Here is a 22,605-nt window from a genome sequence, read left to right on the forward strand (position 1 = left end):
GCATCTGCTCATCACCTGACAGCACCAGCTATTTCCCTGGAGACTTCATCAAACGCTGGAATATGGACAGATTGATGAATGCATAGTACCTGGCCAGCATTAGAGGGAGCTTGGTGAGTATATTAGGGCTAGGATGTATCTGTCCATGTTTGTCGCTGGCCTATTTCTTACCTTGACATTTCCACTGGAGGGAGCCTGGAAAAGAAAGTGAGATTTATGCCACCTGGTCTAAGAGCTACTGTCCTTCCATGTTAAGAGAATCGATGTGGTCACTTAATCAGATGCCACTTTGTTTAATTGTCACATTATCACACCAGAACCACTGTTCCTGCCTGGACCCAGCCTCTGCTCCTCAAGGGAGTCAATTAGCCATCTGAGTGGCCACCTGACACATGATGTGCAGAGATGGGAGGAGACATGCCAAGCAATTTCTTTTACGCTAGGGCTGTTAATGCTGTGAAGTCTGACTAAGGGTTTCTGTCCACTGATGGTGCTTTTCATGTGATGCGTGTGGTTCTGCTCCTGTCTGAGTCCACCCTGAGTCTGCCTTTCTTCCACACCCTGAGCCCCTTCCATGCAAATGTGCCTTTCCTGACAGCCAGGCTGGTGTGGACAGAGAACTAGGCAGCCATGTAGAGTGTGGTGGAAACATGTCTTCTCTGGAAACATCAGCCTTCACCCCCACACCAGGGAAGTGCTTTGAGCTTCACTGCCCTAGATGCCTTCCTGTGGGCTGTCCACAGGCCTCTCTCTGATGCCAAAGGGATTTGCTCAGATGAGAAAGAAACACCAGGGGGGCTGGGAGGGTGTGCAGACCTGAGAGGTGAGTCTGAGAATATCCAGGAGCTGCCACTCCGCCCGCAGGAGGGGACCACAGGAGATGCAGGAGGGAACCACGGGAGACCCAGGAAGGGACCACGGGAGACCCAGGAGGGAACCACGGGAGACCAAGGAAGGGACCGTGGGAGACCAAGGAAGGGACCGCGGGAGACCCAGGAGGGGACCACAGGAGAGCAGGGGCTGGAGGTGTGGGTGAGTAGTAAGTGCAGGAAAGGGCTGACCATGAACATGGAGTCCTCTTCTCATTTCTTCCAGGCCCTCTTGGGCCCTGTTTCTAGGGCTCTGCACCTAGATCGATGGGAGGAGGATGATGCCATTCACTGAAATAACAGGAATAGGTGTGTGAGGAGGAGCTGGCAGGGTGAGAGGTGAAGACTTTGTCTGGGGAATCCACTCACTGAGGAGCACCTGGCCATGGCCTCAGCTGCCACCCTCCTGACACCCACTCTGTTCTACAAAGTTGAAGGTAGAGGCACCTTTCTCTTGGCAACAGGAGGTCCAGCGGGGCTTTTCCCATAATTGTAACCCCCCCCTACACACACACACACACGCACACACACACACACACACACGGCTTAAGAAGAGATGGAGACAGACAGTCACCCTGCAACAATCACCCCCTCTGGGCCTGGACAGGACCAGGGAGGGCGGGCATGGGTGGGGGGGTTGCTTGCCTGATGGGGAGGCCGTGTAGGAGTGAGTGCTGACTCAGCTGAACACAGTGAGGGGCTCCTGGGGATCCTGTGTGAACATCAGGGTCCCTGCAGGAGGGGAGACCATATCCCACCCCATGCTGGACACGTGATGAGCAGCAGAGCCACAGGCCACCTGCGGCTGGCAACCCAGTGCCAGGAGGGGTGGGGAGGGCTGCACAGTCATCCTCTGAGGGATCAGCCTGAGTCTAGAGCTGGTGCCAGCTCCCAACTGTAGACTCAGGAGAGGCCGCCAGCCAGGGTAGCCCACACAGCAGGCCCCGAAGGACCCCAGAGTGCCCAGGATAGTAACCTGGGTATATGTTTCACCCCAACATGCCCTTGGGTGGCCACATGGGGGTCGTCCAGCACAGCCCCAGGCAGCCTGAGGCCATCCTTTGTGGACACATGGGAAGGCGGGTGGGCCCGGGGACAGCCAGCCAGTGACTTTATCTCCATTCTGCAGCAGTGTCTCAGGGCCACAGAGGCACCCAGCAAGTGCTCCCCATGGGAGGGTCCGGCACACAGGAGGCAGCTTCTTCTCAGCCACTTGGCTCCAAGGAGGAGCAGGGTCCTGAGCTGCATCAGAGCCCAGCCGCGTGTGCCTTCCCCGTGTACGGGGCTGTGGGGCCGGGGGGCGGCGTAGAGACCCCCTGACCAGGCCTGGTTCAGGCTCAGGGCCCTGTGGGAGGAAAATGATTTTCAAACACAAGCCCCTGGCTTTCCTGAATGGGTCTGGGTGGGCAGGGGTGGGGCAGTCAGAGGGAGGAGGGAGTCAGAGACCAGGAGGCTGCTCACCCCATGGGGCGGTGCCTGGGAAGCAGGGCCTGGGATGATGCTGCACACTGAGGTACTGTCAAAACTGGGGGCAGTCAGTCCAGATGCAAGAGAGTGTTTGAAAGGATGACGCTGGCCCTAACCTGGGGCAGAGGTTCTCCCTGTTGCAAAGTCAGAGGGAGAATCTTGTGAGTTGGACACATCAATGTATTGAGTCTCTTTTGCAGCATGGGGTAGGTAAGAATGTGGGAGTGGCGGAGGAAGGGAAAGGGAATTGGGTGTGGAGGAGCTGGAGGTCCCAGTGGGTGCCAGGCTGGGGATGAGAAGGTGAGGAGACAGATAAGGGTGGTGAGGAGACAGATAAGAGTGGTGAGGGGACAGATAAGGGTGGTGAGGAGACAGATGAGAGTGGTGAGTGGACAGATAAGGGTGGTGAGGAGACAGATGAGGGTGGTGAGAAGAGAGATGAGGGTGGTGAGGAGACGGATGAGGGTGGTGAGGAGAGAGATGAGGGTGGTGAGGAGAGAGATGAGGGTGGTGAGGAGAGAGATGAGGGTGGTGAGGAGACAGATGAGGGTGGTGAGGAGACAGATGAAGGTGGTGAGTGGACAGATAAGGGTGGTGAGGGGACAGATGAGAGTGGTGAGGGGACAGATGAGGGTGGTGAGGAGAGAGATGAGGGTGGTGAGGAGAGAGATGAGGGTGGTGAGGAGAGAGATGAGGGTGGTGAGGAGAGAGATGAGGGTGGTGAGGAGACAGATGAGGGTGGTGAGTGGACAGATGAGAGTGGTGAGTGGACAGATAAGGGTGGTGAGGGGACAGATGAGAGTGGTGAGGGGACAGATGAGGGTGGTGAGGAGACAGATGAGGGTGGTGAGGGGACAGATGAGGGTGGTGAGGAGAGAGATGAGGGTGGTGAGGAGAGAGATGAGGGTGGTGAGGAGAGAGATGAGGGTGGTGAGGGGCTCTGAGGGGAACATGGTGCATGACCAGCAACAGACTCTCCAGCCCCTGGGCTCACGTGGGGACATTGATGGTGCTCAGCTCTTGCGTCTTCCCTCTAGGAATCCACCCGGCAGAAAATACACCTGTGTGAGCTAAGAAATAGACTCCAGGACATCCTCTCTGGCTCTGTGAGATTCAGGGTCACATTGAGCTGCCCTAGTTTCCATCTGCAGAAGGCAGATTAGGTGAACGACACCCAGCTCTACCACAGAACACTGGCAAAAAAAAATCGATTAGGTTTAAGGGGGTTCTGTGTGCTCTGATGTTGAAGGATTCCATGGGCTAAAGCTCCACCTGGGAACTGGACTTGACCCATCAAGCACTATCTGCAAGCCCTGCCCAGGTGACAGGGCTGGTGACCCCTGCCGCTGCATCGACCTCTGCAGTTCTAAGGGGAAACGGACCAGCCAAGTACTTCTCAGTGAAGTAAAAACGAGTCTTGGGCAGGGGTTACCCTGCTAGAGAGTAGGCAGGAAGGGAGGGTCCTCTCTAGCTCTGGGGACTCCACAGCTAGGTAAGGGGTGGGCATAGGGGGTGGGTGGAAGGAAGCTCTGACGCAGGTGTTTTCCTTGGCTCTGTGCCAGCCAGGCCCGGGGGCATCAATCTCACTCCATCCCCTGGGGCTCTGCCAGTTGGTCAAGGCCAACGTCCACCCTTCTGGGTCATGTCCAGGCTTTCACCTTCACCCCCGCCGTCCTCACCTCACCTGTGGAAGCCTTTTCATTCAGACCTTGGGTGAAGTGGTCCCTTCTCCACCCCAGTCCCTCCAGTGGGGAGGACCTAGGATGTCTGTGCTGATGGATGAGCTGAGGAGCCCAAACACCGAGCCTCCTGGGAGGGCGTCCTGGACACATCCCTCAGCCGTCCCTGCTATGGGCACCAGCTGCTTCCGTGGGTGGGTGCTGGGAGGAAACGGGGAGCAGTCTCCAGTCTGGAGGTGCTGCTTGTAAACTGGAGGTTTGTCAAAGCCTCTCCACCTCCCGCTCTGATGTCTTCTCCATATTTAGGACTCTGTTAGAAGGAGACAAAAAACCCAACTCAAACCAACTGAAGGGTCCAGGGTTGTGTATCTGCAGGTACAGCTTGATGGATGGGCCCGGGAGAAGCCACCAGGACCTCTCTGTCTCTCTGTGTCTGTCTCTCTGTCTCCTTCTCTCTGACTCTGCTGCCTGTCTGGTTCCTCTCCTGGCTGAGCTCAGCCATGTGGGGCCAACCCCTCCACCTGCAGTGCCAAACCCACTCCCCTCCTCTCAGGGACATTTATGAAGAGATCCATCCTCCCAGTCCTCTGTCAAAGCCCAGATGTGGGTCCCTCGGGCTTTCACTGCCTGGGGGTTGTGTCCATCCAGCACCAGGTGCCCTGATCAAGATGCTCTGATTGGCCAGGCCTCATCAACAACCATCCCAGAGCTGGGACAGACGCATGATCTGAGAACTGGGGGGGGGGTCATTTCCATGGGAAACCAGTGTGCTCTTGGTGGAATAGGAGGGAAAGGTTCTTGGGGCACCATAAAAAGCAGATGCGAGCACTCGGTGACCTTGAGAGCGGGGTTGAGTTCCCTGGCAGGTTTTAATTGTAAAAGAGCTTCCGAGGGGCAATGCTTACCTAGAGGATGGGAGGTGCACCCCTGGGATCTGGCACTGTACCAGGTTGCAGAGGAGACATTTTGGGGTGGGAACAGGGGAACCCCGAGTCTGAGAGTCGCTCTGTGCTGGGGAAGGGTTGAGGGGAGTTGAGCTCAGGCTGGGGAGGGGCCTCTCAGCTGCAGAGTGTAGTGTGAACACAGTTGCATATCATTATAGGATTGGAAAATGAGATTCCAGAACCAGACAGCCTTCCCTCTCTGGGTGCCAGCAGCGAGCGTCTGTTCCTGAAGCAGTGATATGGCCCTCGGCACAGTCAAGAATTGTGCCATTTGGGAGGCAGGAAATCGTTTCCAGGAGAAAGTGCCCCATGCAGATGGCTAAGCATCTGGCCCTGGGGAATCTGCAAATGCTGAAAACGTCAGGATTTAAAAGAAACCCAGACTTGTTCCCTTTTCCTAATTGCTTCCAACCCTTCCCTGAGCCTTTTCTCCCTTAGAGACAATGGAATGGGCTAGAATGTGCTCAAGGGTGCAGAATGCTGGGCAGGAATCTTAGGGATGAACCGCAGAGAGGTGATGGGGTGGGGAGAATTTCCCAGTTATTTCCAAACCAGTGGGAAGTTCCAACTGGGAACATATTCCCCAGGGCACTGAACTATTAAAATAGGGCACCGACTTAAATGGTGCATGGACCAATCAGAATTGACCACAGACCACACAGACTGGAGCAGGGGCCAATCAAGATGAAAGATTTGCCAATCAGGATGGAGCATACCTCAGTGAGAATGGATCAGGAACCACAAAGAATGGATCATGATCTAATCAGGATGGAGCATGGGCCAATCACAATGGAGCACCGTCCAATCAGGCTGGAGCATTTTTCAGTCAGAATGGAGCACGGGCCAATCACAATGGACACCTGTCTAAAGACCCAGCACGGACGGAGCAGTGTGTCCAGCTGAGTGTCTCTCCTGGTGCTGCACTCATCAGGCCCCTCCCTATCTTATCCCACCGCCCCAGGCCGTGGGTCAGGAGACAGAGGTGCCTGGAGGAGCCAAGAGCAAGCCCCACTTCTGCCTGTGCAACGAGACACCCACCCTGAGAGAGGACTGTGGGGGGCAGAAGGACAGGAGCCCAGGGATGTGCTGTGTCTGTCTGTCCGGCTGTCTGTGCAGGAGCCCGGAGACCTCAGGCTTCCAAGCTAGCATTTGTGCTCCTCAGATCTGGGGTCGACTCCAGGACAAGCTGATACTTACAGACACAGAAGGCGATTTAAACCTGTCCCCAGGAGCTGACAGTGTAGTCTGGGGTGAATTCATTTGTAAGAGTCTGTTGACATTCATTGTAAAAGATGAGTACTTCTCACTGGTCCTCACATGTCTCATCCCTGAAACGGAGGGGGAGAACATCATTTTAATTGCCATACAGTATGTGTTTCCTGAAGACTTAATGGCTGCTTTGCAGTTTACCATGGAGGGGTAGATTTATAGCACTGTCTGCGGGTCCTTGCCTGTGCTGGGCTCATTGTCAGGTTGTGGGTAAAATGGAGAGGGTCTAGGGGGCGCGCCTTTGCCACCCAGGCATCTCCAGAGCTGACTTGTGGCTCAGGGCCAGAGGCAGGCCAAGGACAGTTCAACCAGCGATCAGAGCCCAGGCCTTCCAGGCAGGTCCAACTCCCAGTGCTGACCCTGACAGCTGTGCTGTGTGATCCCGGAGCTATCCTCACCACTGAGCACGGTTCCCTTCTCTGTAAAGCAGGGAAATTGATGCTCTCCCAGGGACACCACTCGGCAGCCATTCCCCCAGTGCCTGGGACAGCCCCCTGAGGATCACCCTTCACCCAGCCTCAGTCCACGTGGTTTGGGGACATCCCCAGGCCAGGGACAGATCACATGACTGAGTCACAGCCAATCAGCACACGGCTGTCCCAGAGCACGTGATTGGCTCAGGCATAGGGGTGTGACTCCATCAGAGCCAATCAGATGCAAGGAAACAGGCTGAGAGGCTCTGGCCTTTCTCACTGCCTGTGACCTGAGGGGGCGTGGCACAGGTTGCGCCCCTGGGACCAGTGGACAGAGCCTGCTGGATACTGGAGTCCACGAGGAAGAAGCAGAGCCGGGGTAGATCAGGCCTTGGTGATAGTGACCTGAGCCCTGGGTTCACCCAGACCTCAAATCAGGTCGCTCTGCCCCTCCCCTAGATTCACCCATTCATCCCCTTTCAGGGCTTAGGTTCTTCCGGTGGGGTTTGTGTCACTAACATCAATGAGGACAAGATAGGCCTATTTCAGAAACAGGAGGTGATGAGGGTGCCTGGCTACAAGAATTCTTAAATAGGGGCTGCTATTAGTATACGGAGCTCTCCTGCTGCCAGGGTGCCCCTCATATCCCCGAGACGGAGCAGGAAGAAGGACCCACTTCAGCCCCACGAAGTCCGGATGCAACTGCGAGTCTCCAGTGTGGGCGTTGTCCTCCTCAGTCTGGTGTTGCTGCACTGCGCCCGACCCCAGCCTGGCCACGGTCCCCGTGAGGCACCCGCCCCTGAGTCTCCTCGATGGGCATTCCTCTTCCTGCCAGGCTCATCCCAGGCCTCCACCTCTCCACCTGTTCCCCGTCCCCAGGAGTCAGCCCCTGTGGCTCGAACACCTTCTGCTGCTGACCACGCATCTGAAGGAGCCCCACTCACACCCCTGCCATGTCACGCTGACCTTCACCTACTTGATTTTTCTTCCCTTATCACCACCCAATGCTTTAACGTGGATTATTTTGGTTACTCTTTGTCTGCAGCACAAACAAGCCCAATGAGGGACAGGACTTGGTCTTGGTCTCAGTCTCAGTTGTCCCCTATTTGTTGAATGGAGAAGTGGATTGATGAATGAACAAAATGACTGATCAATAAATGGATAAGTGGGAGGATGAATTAATGGATGAATACATAGGTAAATGAATGAATGAATGATGGATGAGTGAATGAATGAAGAATGAATAGATGAATGGATTGGTGTGTGGATGAATGGATAGATGAAAGAGTGGATGAATGGATGGATGGATGGGTGGATGGATAGATGAATGGATAGGTGAAAGAGTGGATGGATGGATGGATGAATGAATGGATGAGTGGATGGATAGATGGATACAAATTTGCACAGCTCAAATTCTCCTCTCAAATGAGTTTTATGAGTCCTTCCCACTCTCACTAGCTCATGGTCACCTGCCCAGTGTCCTGTCTGCTGTACCCCCACAACTCCATGAGGACCCTGTGGCCTGCACTGGTCAGAGAAGGTTTCCTGGAGGAGGGGACTCAGGCAGAGCATGGAGGAGAGAAGAACTCGGGGGCGGGCTGGGGGCACAGCCTGCAGATGGTGGGGAGGGAAGCTCCATCCCCAGGTGGTGGGTGGGGTCTCACAGCCTCGCTCTGGCTCTGTTGGACTTGGGAGAGTGCTGGTAGCTAAAAATGTTTTTTCCCAAAAAGTCTATAACTGGGAGACAGAAAGTAGGGCAGGTTCACAGTCCAGCAGGAATGAGGCCAGGAAGAAAACAGGATCCAAACCCGAGCATGTGCTGCTCATTTGCATATCGTTTGCATGGAATTCTTAGTGCTCCTCCACTCCCCACCCCCTCCCTGCCGCCTTCTCTGGGACTCAGCTCACAGTGGGGCTTGTCTCAGCCCCATCAGACACCAGAGCAGGCACAGGCAGCACCATGAACACAGATGGGTCCCCAGTGACTGTGGCCCTGAAGAGAGGAAGGGCCTCCTGGGGCTGGACCACCCCCTGGTGGGCTCAAGAAGACAGAGGGGGCCTTGGACTGGGGACAGCCAGCAAGCCTGGTATGCCCCTGCTGGGACTGCCCTGCTGAGTCTATTGTTAGGGTGCCCTTTGTTTGCCTGACCACGGGAGGCCTGCAGGACAGGATGGTCTGGGGACAACCTCAGAACAGGAGGTCTGGGCTCCTTCTCTGCTTCCTTCCTTGGAGTTTCTTGTGTGAGAGAGGAAAGGGCTGCCCAGGCCGCACCACAGGAATCGTGAGACCATAACTGGGGCTGTTTTAAGCCTGCAGGGGTGTGGAAGTTGTGGTGCAGGGACAGAACCCAGACCAGCCTCTGGGAGAGAGGATGGGGAGCTCCCTGGGCCCTCTCCTGTCCCTACAGTTCACAGCCCATGCACCAGAACTGGTCACAGGGCACAGGCACAACCCCCTGCAGGGATCAGGGGCCCCGGGGAGTGCACAGGCCCTTGGGGAGGACCAAGGCCTCCTCTGCTGCCATTGGGATGGCACAGGTTCTGAAGGGCAGGTGTAGCCCCTGCAGGGTACAAGCAGAGGGTGACATCCTCTGACACAGGCTGGGGAGGGACCCCAGGCAGTTGTGTGGGGAGTGCAGGGCCTGGATGCAGGCAGCAGCCTGGGGTGTGTCCTGCAAGACCACAAGGAGAGGCCATGGGTGCGGAAGAGGATCCCAGGGTGAATCTCAGGAAAGCAGCACTGGGACACGTCTGCCGCTAAGGTTATTCTAAAGGCAGAAGCACAGGGACTTCCTGAAAGGCTGCGTAGAAGCGAGAGGCTTGGGCTCGGCTGCCTGGAAGAAGGGAGGCGCCCTGTTCTTGGAGGCCAGAGGATGAGAGCGAGGCAGGCTAAGGAAGAAATCATGGCCCAGCCTGGGCCTGGGGCAGGGGCCTGGCTGGGGAAACTCCTGGCTCAGGAGCAGAGCACGGGAGGAGAAGCACAGCTGGCCCCTGCTCTCCAGGCCTCTGGGAGGTTGGGAAGTGCATGAAAGCACCTCTGAGTCTTGGGTTCTCCATCTGCACAGTGGGCAGGATGATGACGGGCCCTTCTTCCCTAGAAGGAACTTTTTAGGCACAAATGAGGAAATAACATGGAAAGACTTGGAGGCTTCGCCCACATAAGGCAGGAGATCACTCCAAGGTAGGATGACTGCTATTTTGATTGGCTGTAATCAAATGTAATGTCTTGTTTTCATGATTTGGATTGGAGGTGGAAATATTAATTCGAATCATCTATCCTGCAGGAAATGGACCTCCCTGATGGTGGCTTCCCCCGTTCCCTGTAACTGCCTGTGACTGATGAGCCATCAGCAGGGATGGGAGGGATGGAGCCTCGGACATCATTTACTCACTTCTGCTTGTTAAATAACTCAGGACCTGGGGCCGCTTCTCAGGGCTGGGGCTGAGTCTCCGTGCCCACCGTGGTGCTGGGCATATTTGCTGTCTCTGGGGAGACAGACGCGAAGCAGAAAGGCAGAAGGAAAAGCTGTCAGCCCAGGCGTTCCTGCCAACCCATGCCGGCCTGCAGGCCACCGCCCTCTGCCCATCCCGGAAGGACGTGTTTTCCTCTTAAATACCTGAGTCAAGGGGCTGGGGTGCATCTTTCCCTCCGCCCTCTTGCTGAGCTGCGTGGCTGCATTGAGGGGATTTTTCTGTCTCTGCCATTAAACAAATCCTGGCAGGCTAATTAGCTGTGGGAGGTTTCAGGTGCTTTCATTTTCAAAAGAAGTCAAGCACATATTATGCTTGGAACAAGCCTAGCTTTCTAATGAAAAGAGACTGCAACTGAATCATCAAACAAATATAAACAAATAGATCAATAAATGTGCATGCATACACGTGTTCACAGAGGACAATTTGAAGGTGAAACATGAAATGAGAGCGCGCACGGAGGTGCCAGCCATGAGATGTGCAGAGGCCAAGAGCGCAGGGCCAGGGTCAGGAGGATGTGCAGTGGAGCCGGGTAAATGTTACTGCCGCGCCCTAAGAAACGGGGAGGGGAGGGGGCAGGTCTGGAACCACCTAGGAGGCAGATTTGGCTGATTTGTTTCAGGAATCCTTTCTGCCTTGTGATTTAGGAGTTAACGTTTCCTTCTCCTCTTTCTGCTCCTCCTTCCTCCAATAAAGTGCGTGACCTTCATCAGTGCACACACAGGTGGCACTGGCTCAGGGCCCATCGAGGGCCAGTGTCCTGGGCCCTGCCAGGGCATGTCTGTGGGAGGGCCACTAGGGTCAGGGGACAGGGCCGTGGGGAAAATCTGCCCTGTGGATGGATTTGACTGCAGCCACTCTGTCCTTCTGGGAATCAAGGAGGAGCCTTCCCTTGTCCCTGGGACAGCAGGCGCTTCCCCAGGTGGTGGCCCCTCAAGGGTTCCTCCCCAGCACGCTTCCTGCCCTCCCACTGCTCTGAGTCAAGTTCCTCCCGCTCACCTGCTGACTTCATTCCTGGTCCCCTCATCGTCCTGGGCGGGGCCTTCCTGAGCTGCTCCCTTAACACTGAGGAGCTTGACCAGCCACAGGGGCCTGGCCCTCTCCAGGGTGCTGAAACCTGCTGCCGCTTCCTGGGTGGGGACTGCGTGGCTGTCCCAGGATAAGCAGATGTGGGACCCCGTGGCAGAACTACAGTTGTTTTGATGTTTCCATCATGCCCTAAATCCAGCCAGAAGCAGCTTGAAGATACCTGGTGCGCAATGTCCTGCCGATAGCCGGCGGCTGAGCAGACGCCTGGGAGAGAGCATCTTTATCCTGGATGGGCTCAGAGGACCTTCAGAGTCCAACGCACACCTCTCCAGAATCCATTCAGGCGTCTGCAGGCTGGAGACTGAGGGCAGAGGAAACAATGCCCATGGGATTAGCACCCGGCTCAGCAAATGCTCATCAATCCTTCTGCACTCGGCACTGCGCTGGGCCCCTGGGGCTTTAGAGAGGGTGAGATGTGGTCTTTGAATCTGGAGAGTCATCGCGTAGTTGTGAGCCACACTACAGCTCCTCAGCAGAGGAACAGTGAGGACGCAACATCAAACAGAAGAATCTTGAAGACGAGGCAAGGGCATTGAGGTGCTGCCACCGCCTCTGGCCGGCTCTTGCCGCAGCTGATAAACGTGCAGTATTGGCGTTGTCGGGAACTGGCTTTCTGGGGCCTCTGTCACTTCCCGTCTCTGCAGAGCTTGTGATTGAGCCTGTTCACAGGACACCTTCGTGCTGGACACAGCTTCCTGTCGTGATCCAGAAACTCTGAATTTAATCTAAGATTGCTAACAAGAGTTTCCTGGGGCTCTGGAGGGGACCATCAGGAGTGGTGCTGCTCCCGGAGAAATAAGAAAACTGTGTCAGTCAGGGCTCGGCTTCAGCTTGAAGTGGCAGAAATGCCCACTCACATTCATGCACATATGCACACACTCACTAACTTACACACACACACTCATGCCCACTCACACTTGTGCACACATGCATACTCAAACATCCTCACACACACTCACATACATGCACTCACTCTCACAGCCATGCATACTCTCACACACATGCACACTCACATACATCCACACACACTCACACTCACATTCATGCACCCTCACACATATACACTCACATTCACTAACACAGCACGCACACTCGCAATCACACCCACATGCACACCTACACACTCACTGCCCTGCACACTCACTCTCACACATGCTCACACCCACACACTAACACACATGCACACTTACACTCTTACGCTCACAGACATGCACACTCACATGTTCACTCATCCCCATGCTCACCCCCATGCACGCACACACACACACACACACAGGTTTGAGAAGTTGCCTCTACCTCCTTGCTTCTCCTCAATGTGTGCTGCCTTCTCCCAACATCTCCTCGTGGAGCCGGGACTCAGCCACTGGCCCATGTTTCTGCACCTGGAGGAACCGGTAACCTGGCTGGATGGAAAGAAGGTAATTTTGATCAGGGGAGACATCTTCCTTCTGTACAACATCCCACTATTTGGGTTACAGCTTACTTGCCCTTCCCAAGACTGGCCTCCGTTGTGAGAATAACACCACACAGGCAGCATGATCTGGGGAAAGAAGAAACTCCGTACTTTGTGAGTGACCAGCTCTTGGGCCACTGCTGAGATTCTGGAGGGCTTTGGGCCATTCTATGATCCACCCATCCATCCATTAATTGCACTTCCACTATGTGCAAGGAAATGCTAGAGTTTTGGGTCCCCCAAAGAGGAGAAGAATTAGAGGTGCAATAGTCAGCATAGGCTAAGCTCTGCTTCAGTGACCAAAAAAAAAAACCCGCCTTCAGCGGTGTAAAAGCTTCTTCCTCATGCATGTTGCACGGCCACCACATGTCAGCAGGGAGGCTCCGCCCGTGGCAGGAGGACATGTGAACACTGCTGGCTGCTGTGCCTGAAGGAAGGGGTGTCCCAGGGAGTCTCACGTGGACAATTCGTCGCTTTGACATGGATATTGTAGTGTCATTTCCACTCAACACTCATTGGTCAGAGCCTGTCACTGGCCCCACCCAACCACAAGGAGCCAGGATGTGCAGTCTTTTCCTTGTGCCCAGAAGGATGAGAACCAAACATATCTGACAAGCATAACTGCTGACAGCATGTGGAGAGGCGGGACCATGACCACAGCTTCCCCGCTGGGCCTTCCAAGGCATGCATCTGGCTCAGACTGGGAGCATCTTTCTACACCTATAGTTTCATCCTAAGACCCTTGCCAGAAGATGGGACCTGATCCTGCTACCTCTGTCTATTCACAGGCCTGTGGGGACCACATGGGGGTTCTTATTGGTGATCTACACACAATGGGCCACTCACTTGTGACGGAGAGGTTGGCAATGTTCCTCACTTGCTCCCATGGGATAAGACCCCCCGGAGGGCCACAAGTGACTGCTTCCCCTTGGGCCAAGTGGTTGGTATTAAATGACTGGGATGTCCACCGACCACTGTCTGCATAGCCAGGTCCTCCAGAGACCATGGAATTTTCTTGAGGCCAGCAGCTCAACTGCAATGAGACAGTGAACTGAAACCTGGAAATCCCTTTTTAAACGTCTTACTTTTATTACTTTTTTTTTTTTTTTTTTTTTTTTTGAGACGGAGTCTCGCTCTGTCACCCAGGCTGGAGTGCAGTGGCACAATCTCAGCTCACTGCAACCTCCACCTCCTGGGTTCAAGCGATTCTCCTGCCTCAGCCTCCCAACTAACTGGGACTACAGGCGTGTGCCACCATGCCTGGCTAATTTTTGTATTTTTAGTAGAGGCAGAGTTTCACCATGTTGGCCAGGCTGGTCTTGAACTCCTGACCTCAGGTGATCCACCTGCCTCTGCCTCCCAAAGTGCTGGGATGACAGACATGAGACATCGTGCCCAACCACTTTTACTTTTTTTCAAATCATACATTCTTAATTCATGCTCCTCTAAGACACTAGGGAGAAATGTGTCCCTTGCTGCTACACCAAAGCGGAAGCCTTGAGACTGCACCTGCCCTCTCCTCTCTGTCCTCCTCCTCGCCATTATTTTTGCTGCTCCACCAAAGTGGGGAGCCTGGTGACTGCACCTCCCCTCTCCTCTCTGTCCTCCTCCTCACCATTATTTTGGTGGACGCCCTGGTGCCTGGGTCTGTGTAGGGTTCCCCCCATGGGAACAGCACAGGATTCGCTGAGCCCCTTGTCTCTCGAACATATAGCTTCCCCTTGGCTGAGCAGTGGCCTTGGCCAGTCCCATGTAGGACTGGGTATGACAAGCATGGGTCTTCACCAAGAATTCCCTTGGGTTCTAATGATAATGTCTTCTAATGATAATACTCAGTTATTTTCCAGAAATGCTGCCAGACACTCAGATTCCTCACTTACCTTCTACCCAGTGGTGGAAAGAATCGTGATCCAGGCAGATGTGGGTTCCTTCTCCACAGCTCACTGGCCGTGATCTTGGCTGAATGGTTGAACACTGTGGAGACCAATGTCCCTCATCTGCACACTGGCCTTACAGCAAGTAGCTCCTAGGCTGTGAGGTGAGGGGCCACAGCCGGTCAGCGTGTGCAGCATTCAATTTGTCTTCCCCAGGCTCTGGCCATGTTTCCCCCTAGAGGAGGCCTGAGAGTCCCAGAGGCTGTGGGAGCCCAGAGTCCTCCAGAATCCTCTTTAGTTCCTTTCCCCAGGAGCAAAGGCCACTCCTTCCTGCCCAGAGGCAGGAACCTCACTGGGATTTGGGGAAGAAGCTCTGGTTTGTTTTATTCCAGCATCCTTTTGGCCTGCAAGGAATTGGATTATAATTTTGAAACCATTTTTTGGCACTAAACAGGAATACAATCCAGGGTATTGTAAACACGCAACATTCAGAAAACGGAGAAAATGGTTATTGTCATGTGTCATTTTGAAATCCCGGCACTTTGGGAGGCCAAGATGGGTGGATCGCTTGAGCCCAAGAGTTCGAGACCAGCCTGGCCAACCTGGCAAAACCTCATCTCTACCAAAAAAAAGTACAAAAATAATTAGCCAGGTGTGGTAGTGGGTGGCTGTATTTCTAGCTACTCAGGAGGCTGAGGTGAGAGGATTGATTGAGCCTGGGAGGTTGAGGCTGCAGTGAGCCATGATTATGCCACTGCACTGCAGCCTGGGTGACAGAACGAGACCCTGTCTTAAAAAAGAAAAAACATATCAGAAGCTGTTCCTTTGAAGTCAAGAACATAGTAAAGATGCCTGCTATCACTATCACAAACAGTATTTAATATAGGTCCTTGATAATGCACAGAACAAGGAAAAACTAAGCATAGATATCGAAAAGGAAGAGACACCATTAACAATATTTGCAGATATATCATGGCCCACATAGAAAACCTAATTAACCAACACCATAAATCATAGGGACTAAAAGAAAAATTGCAAATACAGAACACTTCTTACTGATCAGCACTGTCTGATTAGAAGACGCAATAGAATACGTAAGATTTCGTTTACAATAGCAGCAAGACCTTTGAAACATGTGCTAGTAAACCTAATTAATGAGTGAGATCTTTGTAAAGATGATTGTAAAACTCTCCTGCAAGACGTTACCGTGCTCTCAAGAGAGGGAGGAGGAAGTTGCTCCACTCCTGAGCAGGGAGCCTGAGAGTGCACAACCGTCCGTTCTTCCCTTTCAAATCCACACGTTCTGCACAGCGTCAATCCATATCTCCACACACGTTGTCAGGGACATTTGCAAATAGATTCTAAATACACCATGAAGAGTAAGTGCTAAAACAGTGCAAAAAGAGAGGAAGAGAGAGAGGAAGAGAAAGAAGAGTGGAGAGCAGTGATTCTCCCCCCGTTTTCAATAGATAATAAAGACGTTGTGAATGAAACACCGTGGCACCAACGGAAGTAGAGGAAGAGATCAATAGGATGTAATGGAAGGTTCAGAGACAGAGCCATGTGCCATGAACTTAAGATGCAATAAGGGAGCTGTTCACACCCTAATGGGTGGCAATGAATGGTGTTGAGATGCTTGCCTATTCTGTGGGAGAAAAATAAAATCAAGCCTCAACCTCCCGCTCTTCCCCAAAACAAAGACAGACTTATGACCTAAACATCAAGCAGAACTATACAGACAATGCACACAAATATAAGAAAATGGGCCGGACTCGGTGGCTCATGCCTGTAATCCCAGCACTTTGGGAGGCCAAGGCAGGTGGATCACTTGAGGTCAGGAGTTCGAGACCGGCCTGGCCAACATGATGAAACCGCGTCTCTACTAAAAATACAAAAATTAGCTGAGTGTGGTGGCACACGCCTATGATCCAAGCTACTTGGGAGGCTGAGACAGGAGAATTGCTGGAACCCGGGAGGCTGAGACAGGAGAATTGCTGGAACCCAGGAGGCAGAGGTTGCAGTGAGCCAAGATCACACCACTGCACTCCAGCCTGGGCAACAAGAGTGAAACTCCGTCTCAAAAAAAAAAAAAAGAAAGAAAGAAAGAAAGAAAATGTAACCTGGGTATCAAAAGACCTTAAACAAGACAAAAATACACAGGGCTAAAATGAAAAATACATACTTTTGTCTACATCGACATTTAAAATTTCCATATCAGTACAGTGAAGAGATTAGCCACAGACTCGCAGAAAACATTACACGACATAGAACAAAAGATTCACACACAGAATCTGTAAACGCCTCCCTAGAGTAATATGGAAAAGATAAACAACCCAGCAAAAATTCAGGTAAAGGATATAAACAAACAATTTATGGGAGAGAAATGACAAAGGGCAACATAGAAAAATGCTCAACTCACTAGGAATGAGGGCAAACAAGTTAAAACAAGATACAACGTTTCACCTATCTGATGGGCAGAAGTGAGGAAATGATCATGTCAAGTATTAGCCAAGTGGCCAGGTGCAGTGGCTCACGCCTGTAATCTCAGTACTTTGGGAGGCCAAGGCGGGTGGATCATGAGGTCAGGAGTTCGAGACCAGCCTGGCCAAAATGGTGAAACCCCGTCTCTACTAAAAATATAAAAAGTTAGCCAAGTGAGGTGGCACAGGCCTGTAGTCCCAGCCACTTGGGAGGCTGAGGCAGGAGAATCGCTTGAACCTGGGAGGCGGAGGTTGCAGTGAGCCGAGATCATGCCGCTGCACTCAAGCCTGGGCAACAGAGCCAGACTCTGTCTCAAAAAAAAAAAAAAAAAGTATTAGCCAAGATGTGCGGAAAGAGGATTCACGTATGCTGTTTGTGTGAATGTAAGTTCGAATGGTCTTTTCTGGAGAACCATCTGACGTATCTATTGACACAAAAAGTGCACACATGCCATGGTTCCCAATTTCACTTCTCAGCATCTACCTGAGCATGGGCAAAGGAGGCGGGTGCTAGAATGTGTGCTGCCACGTCGACAGTCATCCTGGAGACGTGGGGAAAAATAAAACTTTAGTCTCTTCCGAGGGTGATTTGGTTAAATACAGCCTACGGTATGTCCATGTTATGGAATATTGTGTAGCAGCTGATGCAAAATGGTAGCACTATACATATGCATATGGAAAGATTTCTAAGTCTTGCTATTCTACAAAACAAGCAAGGAAGAAGACATGGCCCCAGTGTGATGTTTGTGTGTGTGTGTGTGTGTGTGTGTGTGTTTATAAAAGCCATGGTGAAAGGGGCACTTATTTCCATCCATATGGATGTATGGATGTAAAAGCTTAGAGACCCTCTGGAAGAAGAGACACCCCCACCCCCACCAGGCCACAGTGTTTCTCTGGAAATGAATAGGAATGTGGTGAGCAGGAGGGAAAGGATGGGGTGGAGTCAAGAATGACTTTCACTTTAATCTTCAAATGTACAGTTGATATTTGCATTGATCTTGAATCCACGTATGGGGAAAAAACAGCAAAAACAACATCTTTGCTCTAGGGGATGGTGTGTGGCTGGGAGATTAAGGAAAGGGTTGAGGGCGGGGCAGGAGGAGATGGGGTTTGAAGGATCAGGCAGGATTTACCATCATCCCTTTTTAGTAGTTATTTGAGGCATCATTTACACTCAGTAAAATAACAAATCTTATGAGTACAGATGGACGGGACTTTACATATGTACAGGCCTTGTGACCGCCCCCAAGTTGAGGCACAGACACCACCCCCAGGAAGCCCCTCATGCCCTTTCCAGTCCACACTCAGAGGTCACTTTTCCTGTGCTCTGTTTCCACACAGTCTTGCCTGTTTGGAAACCTAAGTGACAGGAACTGGATATAAATGGAATTCTGTGACGTGTAGTATTTCAGGACTCCCATTTTTTTCTCAACATAATTTCTTGAGATTTCTCCCTAAAACTGTCTTTCTCAGGAGTGATCGTAGAGTAACGTTGCATTGTATGAAGATTCTGCTATTTGTTTCTGCATTTGCCTGGGTTGTTTCTGGGTTTCACTATTTTGAACAAAGCTATTGTGTCATTCTCGTGCAGTTGTTTGTTGTGGACATATTTATGGATTTTTCTTACGTTCCCAGGAATGGATTTTCTGGGTCATGGGATTGTTCTATGTGTAACCTTAGAAGCCATCAAAGAGGGTGCCTTAGGGGTGCACCATTACACCCTCCTCCACAAAACCCATCCAAGAGGGTGTCTTAGGGGTCCGACATTGCACCCTCCTCCACAAAACCCATCCAAGAGGGTGTCTAGGGGTGAACCATTGCACACTCCTCCACAAAACCCATCCAAGAGGGTGTTTGGGGGTGCACTATTGCACACTCCTCCACAAAACCCACCAAAGAGGGTTTCTTAGGGGTGCACCGTTGCACCCTCCTCCACAAAACCCATCCAAGAGAGTGTCTTAGAGATGCACCATTGCACACTCCTCCCCAGAAGCCATCCAAAAGGGTGTCCTAGGGGGGTGCACCATTGCACACTCCTCCCCAGAAGCCATCCAAAAGGGTGTCCTAGGGGGTGCACCATTGCACACTCCTCCCCAGAAGCCATCCAAAAGGGTGTCCTAGGGGGGTGCACCATTGCACACTCCTCCCCAGAAGCCATCCAAAAGGGTGTCCTAGGGGGTGCACCGTTGCACACTCCTCCCCAGAAGCCATCCAAAAGGGTGTCCTAGGGGGGTGCACCATTGCACACTCCTCCCAGCTACACGCAGGAGTTGCAAGGGCCCCACTTGGTCTTCAGCAGGAGGTCAGCTGTTCCAATTCCAGCCATTCTTGTGGGCATGGACTGGAGTCTCACTATGGTTTAATTTTTACTTCCCTGATGTCTGGCGATGCTGCACAACTGTCCCTGTGCTTATGGGACATGTGAGAATCCTCTTTTGTGAATTGGCTAATCTAAATTTTTGACCAATTTTAGTCATCACATTAAAGCGTCTAATTAATAGGGTCTCAGGTCACACATTCATGATTCTAAAATCTGGACAAAGCAGAGCGTAGAGAACACCTTCTCTGCTCTGTGAGTTTATCTTTGCTTAAAGCCGTGTCTGTTTAAGTCTGCGTAGCCCCTTCCTTCTCCCAAACCCAGTTTCCTCTTGTGTGAAATAGCGCAGGCCATGACTGAGTGCTGCTCTTCTGCAGCATCTGGGCAGGTGTGGCTCCCCTGGCTGGGACTTGGAAGCTTCTGGAGGCTCTGGGTTGATTCCTTTGCCTGTCAGTCAGTTTGCTGAAGGGCAGGATTGGAGGTGGGAGAGGCACTCGGCCTCCAGCTGCAGAGGGAAGCTGCCCAACCTCCCTGAGATGCCATGAGGCTGAATCAGGGGAGTCTGTGAGTCCTTCAAGGGGTGGCCACGGTGCAGAGAGTTGAATTCCAGGAAAAATCCCCTTTCCCCCTGGCTCAGCCAGAGGGCAGGGGCCTGAGATCTCCAGGTGTGTGCAGTGCTCAGCCTTTTGTGCAGTCAGGGATTCCATGGCCCCCTCGCCCTTCACAGGGAGGAGCAGACATTTGACTGCAGGTGTGAGTAGAGGGTCGCTGGGATGGAGGTGATGGAGACACTGTCCCTGGGTCCCCGCTGAGAGATGTGTCCCATCCATGGCCCTGTGGCCGGGTTCATTGTGGGGTGATCCCCCGCCGTGGTGCCTGCACACTAAACACATAAACTCCTCTGCCCAGGATGCCACAAAGCCTATCCCCTCATTTTGGAACTCAGCACCTTCTCATCCCTGTCCTGGGATTCAAATTCATTGCTTACAGAAGTTCAAGGCAGAGAGAGATATGGGTAAGGATAATGGCAGTTTAAGCTCCCATCTCTGAACACATTTGACATTGTAATGAGGCAGGTTCAGCAATACACTAGACGTGATTGATATCGACAGGAGAAATTCCCGTCTTCCAAGCCAGCTCTGCACTCTTATCCCAGGCACCGCATCAGCAACAGGAAAACAAAGAGAGGCACAGGCAGCCCGGTGCCACATTCTGGGGATGAATCCACTGCAGGAAATGCTGCCACAATTAGCTGAGAAACCTTACAGGTCTGTCCCTGGGAGTCGACCGGGGGCTCTGCAGAGAGGACCCTGAGCAACAATCAGTTATGGGATAAAAGGGACTCTCCCATGGCCCCTAAGCAGGTACCTCTCACAGTGAAGGAAAATGGGGAATTTGAGCCCCTAAAGCTCTGCTACTCTGGGACCAGCAGCATGAGCATCACCAGGAGCTTCTCAGAACTGAAGACTCTCAAACCCTCCCTCCACATCTGCCTCACCTGTGGATTAGAGCCCTGAGTGGGAACTGGACCCATGGCTACCCAGAGTGAGGACAACCTTCCCCAGCCCTCCTTGTGGCCTCATGTGACCAAGTGACCCATTTCTGACCAATGCACTAAGATAAGAGGGCCATGGGAGCCACTTCCTGGTCATTTCCTGACAGAGGTGAGCCCTCTCCTCCTCCTCTCCTCCACTTCCTCAGCTGTGAAATAGGAATGATGATGATGTTGATAATGGTGATGATGATAGTGATGATGGTGATGAGGATGATGGTGATGATGGTGATGATAATGGTGATGGTGATGATGATGGTAATGATGGTGATGTGATGATGGTGATGATGATGGTAATAATGATATTGACGATGATGATGATTGTTACAATGATGATGATGGTGGTAGTGGTGATGATGGTGATGATGATAGTGATGATGATGGTGATGGTGATGATGATGGTGATAATGATGTTGATGGTGATGATTTTATGATTATGATGATGATGATGGTGGTGGTGATGATGGTGATAACGATGATGGTGATGATCATGGTGGTGATAATGATGACTACGACGGTCATGATTGTCATCATGATGATGATGATGATGGTGATGATGATGATGATGGTGATGGTGGTGATGATGATAATGATGATGGTGATGGTGGTGATGATGATGATGGTGATGGTGGTGATGATGATAATGATGATGGTGATGATTATTATGATGATAATGATGGTGGTGGTGATGATGATTATGATGGTGATGATGGTGATGACGCTAATGATGATGGTGATGATTATTATGATTATGATAGTAACGATGGTGGTGGTGATGGTGATGGTGATGATGGTGGTGGTGATGACGATGGGATGATGGTGGTGGTTATAATGATTATGATGGTGATGGCAATGGTTATGGTGATAATGATGTTGATGATGGTGATGATCGTTATGATTATGATGATAATGGTGATGGTGGTGGTGATGATGGTGATGATGGTGGTGGTTATAATGATGATTATGATGGTGATGATGGTGATGGTGATGATGATGATGATGGTAATGGTGATGATGGTGATGTTGGTATCCCAGAGAGAGAAGAGAATGTGGTGAGATCATGACAAGTCTCAGAGCACAGACAATCCCACCACAAACGCTGGATGAAATATACTTATTATTGTTATAATCATCTCAAATTATTAGGTATGTGGAGACATTCCCCTCCCAGGGGCCATCTCCCCTATCCTGGACTCCCTCTTTATAAACAGGAGCTGAGGTCCCCTATAGAAAACTTCCCTTCTGGTATTGCCCTCAGCAGCACGCCCTCCATAGAGCATGTAAACTTCCCCCAGACAAGGAGGAGACACAGGTGGGTCCCCTGACCCTGTACCAAGGGGGTCAGTGTGCCTGGCATCCTGGAAAGAGTGATTAATGCAAGGAAACTTGTGTCCCTGAAATAGGCCATGATCAATGGCATTTGAGTTGCACTTGGCTAAGGGATTGGAGAATGGACATCAGATGGCAGGTGCTGAATCATTTTACTAATGAAGCTTCTGCCTTGCCCACATGATGAGAAGTTTTCCATGGGAGGCTTTGGAGCCACTGCTTTTTTTTCTTTTTTCTTTTTTATAGAGATGGGGGTCACTATGCTGCCCAGCTGATCTTGAACTCCTGGCCTCAAATGATCCTCCTGCCTTGGCCTCTTAAAGTGCTTAGATTACAGGTAGGAGCCATCATGCCTGGCCCAGAGCTACTGCATTAAGGGAGGTGCAGCTGGTCTCCCCA

At 52.0% G+C, this 22,605-nt stretch overlaps 1 long non-coding RNA gene across 1 annotated transcript, besides 4 other annotated features; it reads right to left on the reverse strand.

Moving 5' to 3' along the window:
• Positions 3,234–3,428: a silencer, noted in NCBI's record as "fragment chr12:132123326-132123520 (GRCh37/hg19 assembly coordinates)". NCBI's record gives its function as "represses an EF-1alpha promoter that drives an FKBP-Casp9 reporter gene in an ReSE screen in K562 erythroleukemia cells {active_cell/tissue: K562}" and the evidence as "EXISTENCE:reporter gene assay evidence [ECO:0000049][PMID:32094911]".
• Positions 9,074–9,650: an enhancer, noted in NCBI's record as "H3K4me1 hESC enhancer chr12:132129166-132129742 (GRCh37/hg19 assembly coordinates)". NCBI's record gives its function as "activates a minimal SCP1, AML or CMV promoter by ChIP-STARR-seq in primed H9 embryonic stem cells {active_cell/tissue: H9 hESC(primed)}" and the evidence as "EXISTENCE:reporter gene assay evidence [ECO:0000049][PMID:30033119]".
• Positions 9,679–10,670: an enhancer, noted in NCBI's record as "H3K4me1 hESC enhancer chr12:132129771-132130762 (GRCh37/hg19 assembly coordinates)". NCBI's record gives its function as "activates a minimal SCP1, AML or CMV promoter by ChIP-STARR-seq in primed H9 embryonic stem cells {active_cell/tissue: H9 hESC(primed)}" and the evidence as "EXISTENCE:reporter gene assay evidence [ECO:0000049][PMID:30033119]".
• Positions 10,371–12,574, reverse strand: LINC02414 (long intergenic non-protein coding RNA 2414). The gene is made up of 2 exons (NR_146868.1): positions 12,498–12,574; positions 10,371–11,982 (listed from the first exon to the last, which is right to left on the reverse strand). It is a non-coding gene; the product is annotated as a long intergenic non-protein coding RNA 2414 (long non-coding RNA).
• Positions 10,671–11,661: an enhancer, noted in NCBI's record as "H3K4me1 hESC enhancer chr12:132130763-132131753 (GRCh37/hg19 assembly coordinates)". NCBI's record gives its function as "activates a minimal SCP1, AML or CMV promoter by ChIP-STARR-seq in primed H9 embryonic stem cells {active_cell/tissue: H9 hESC(primed)}" and the evidence as "EXISTENCE:reporter gene assay evidence [ECO:0000049][PMID:30033119]".
• Positions 12,575–22,605: the final 10,031 nt, after the last annotated feature.

Source organism: Homo sapiens, chromosome 12 (assembly GCF_000001405.40).
Source record: "Homo sapiens chromosome 12, GRCh38.p14 Primary Assembly".
NCBI lineage: Eukaryota > Metazoa > Chordata > Mammalia > Primates > Hominidae > Homo > Homo sapiens.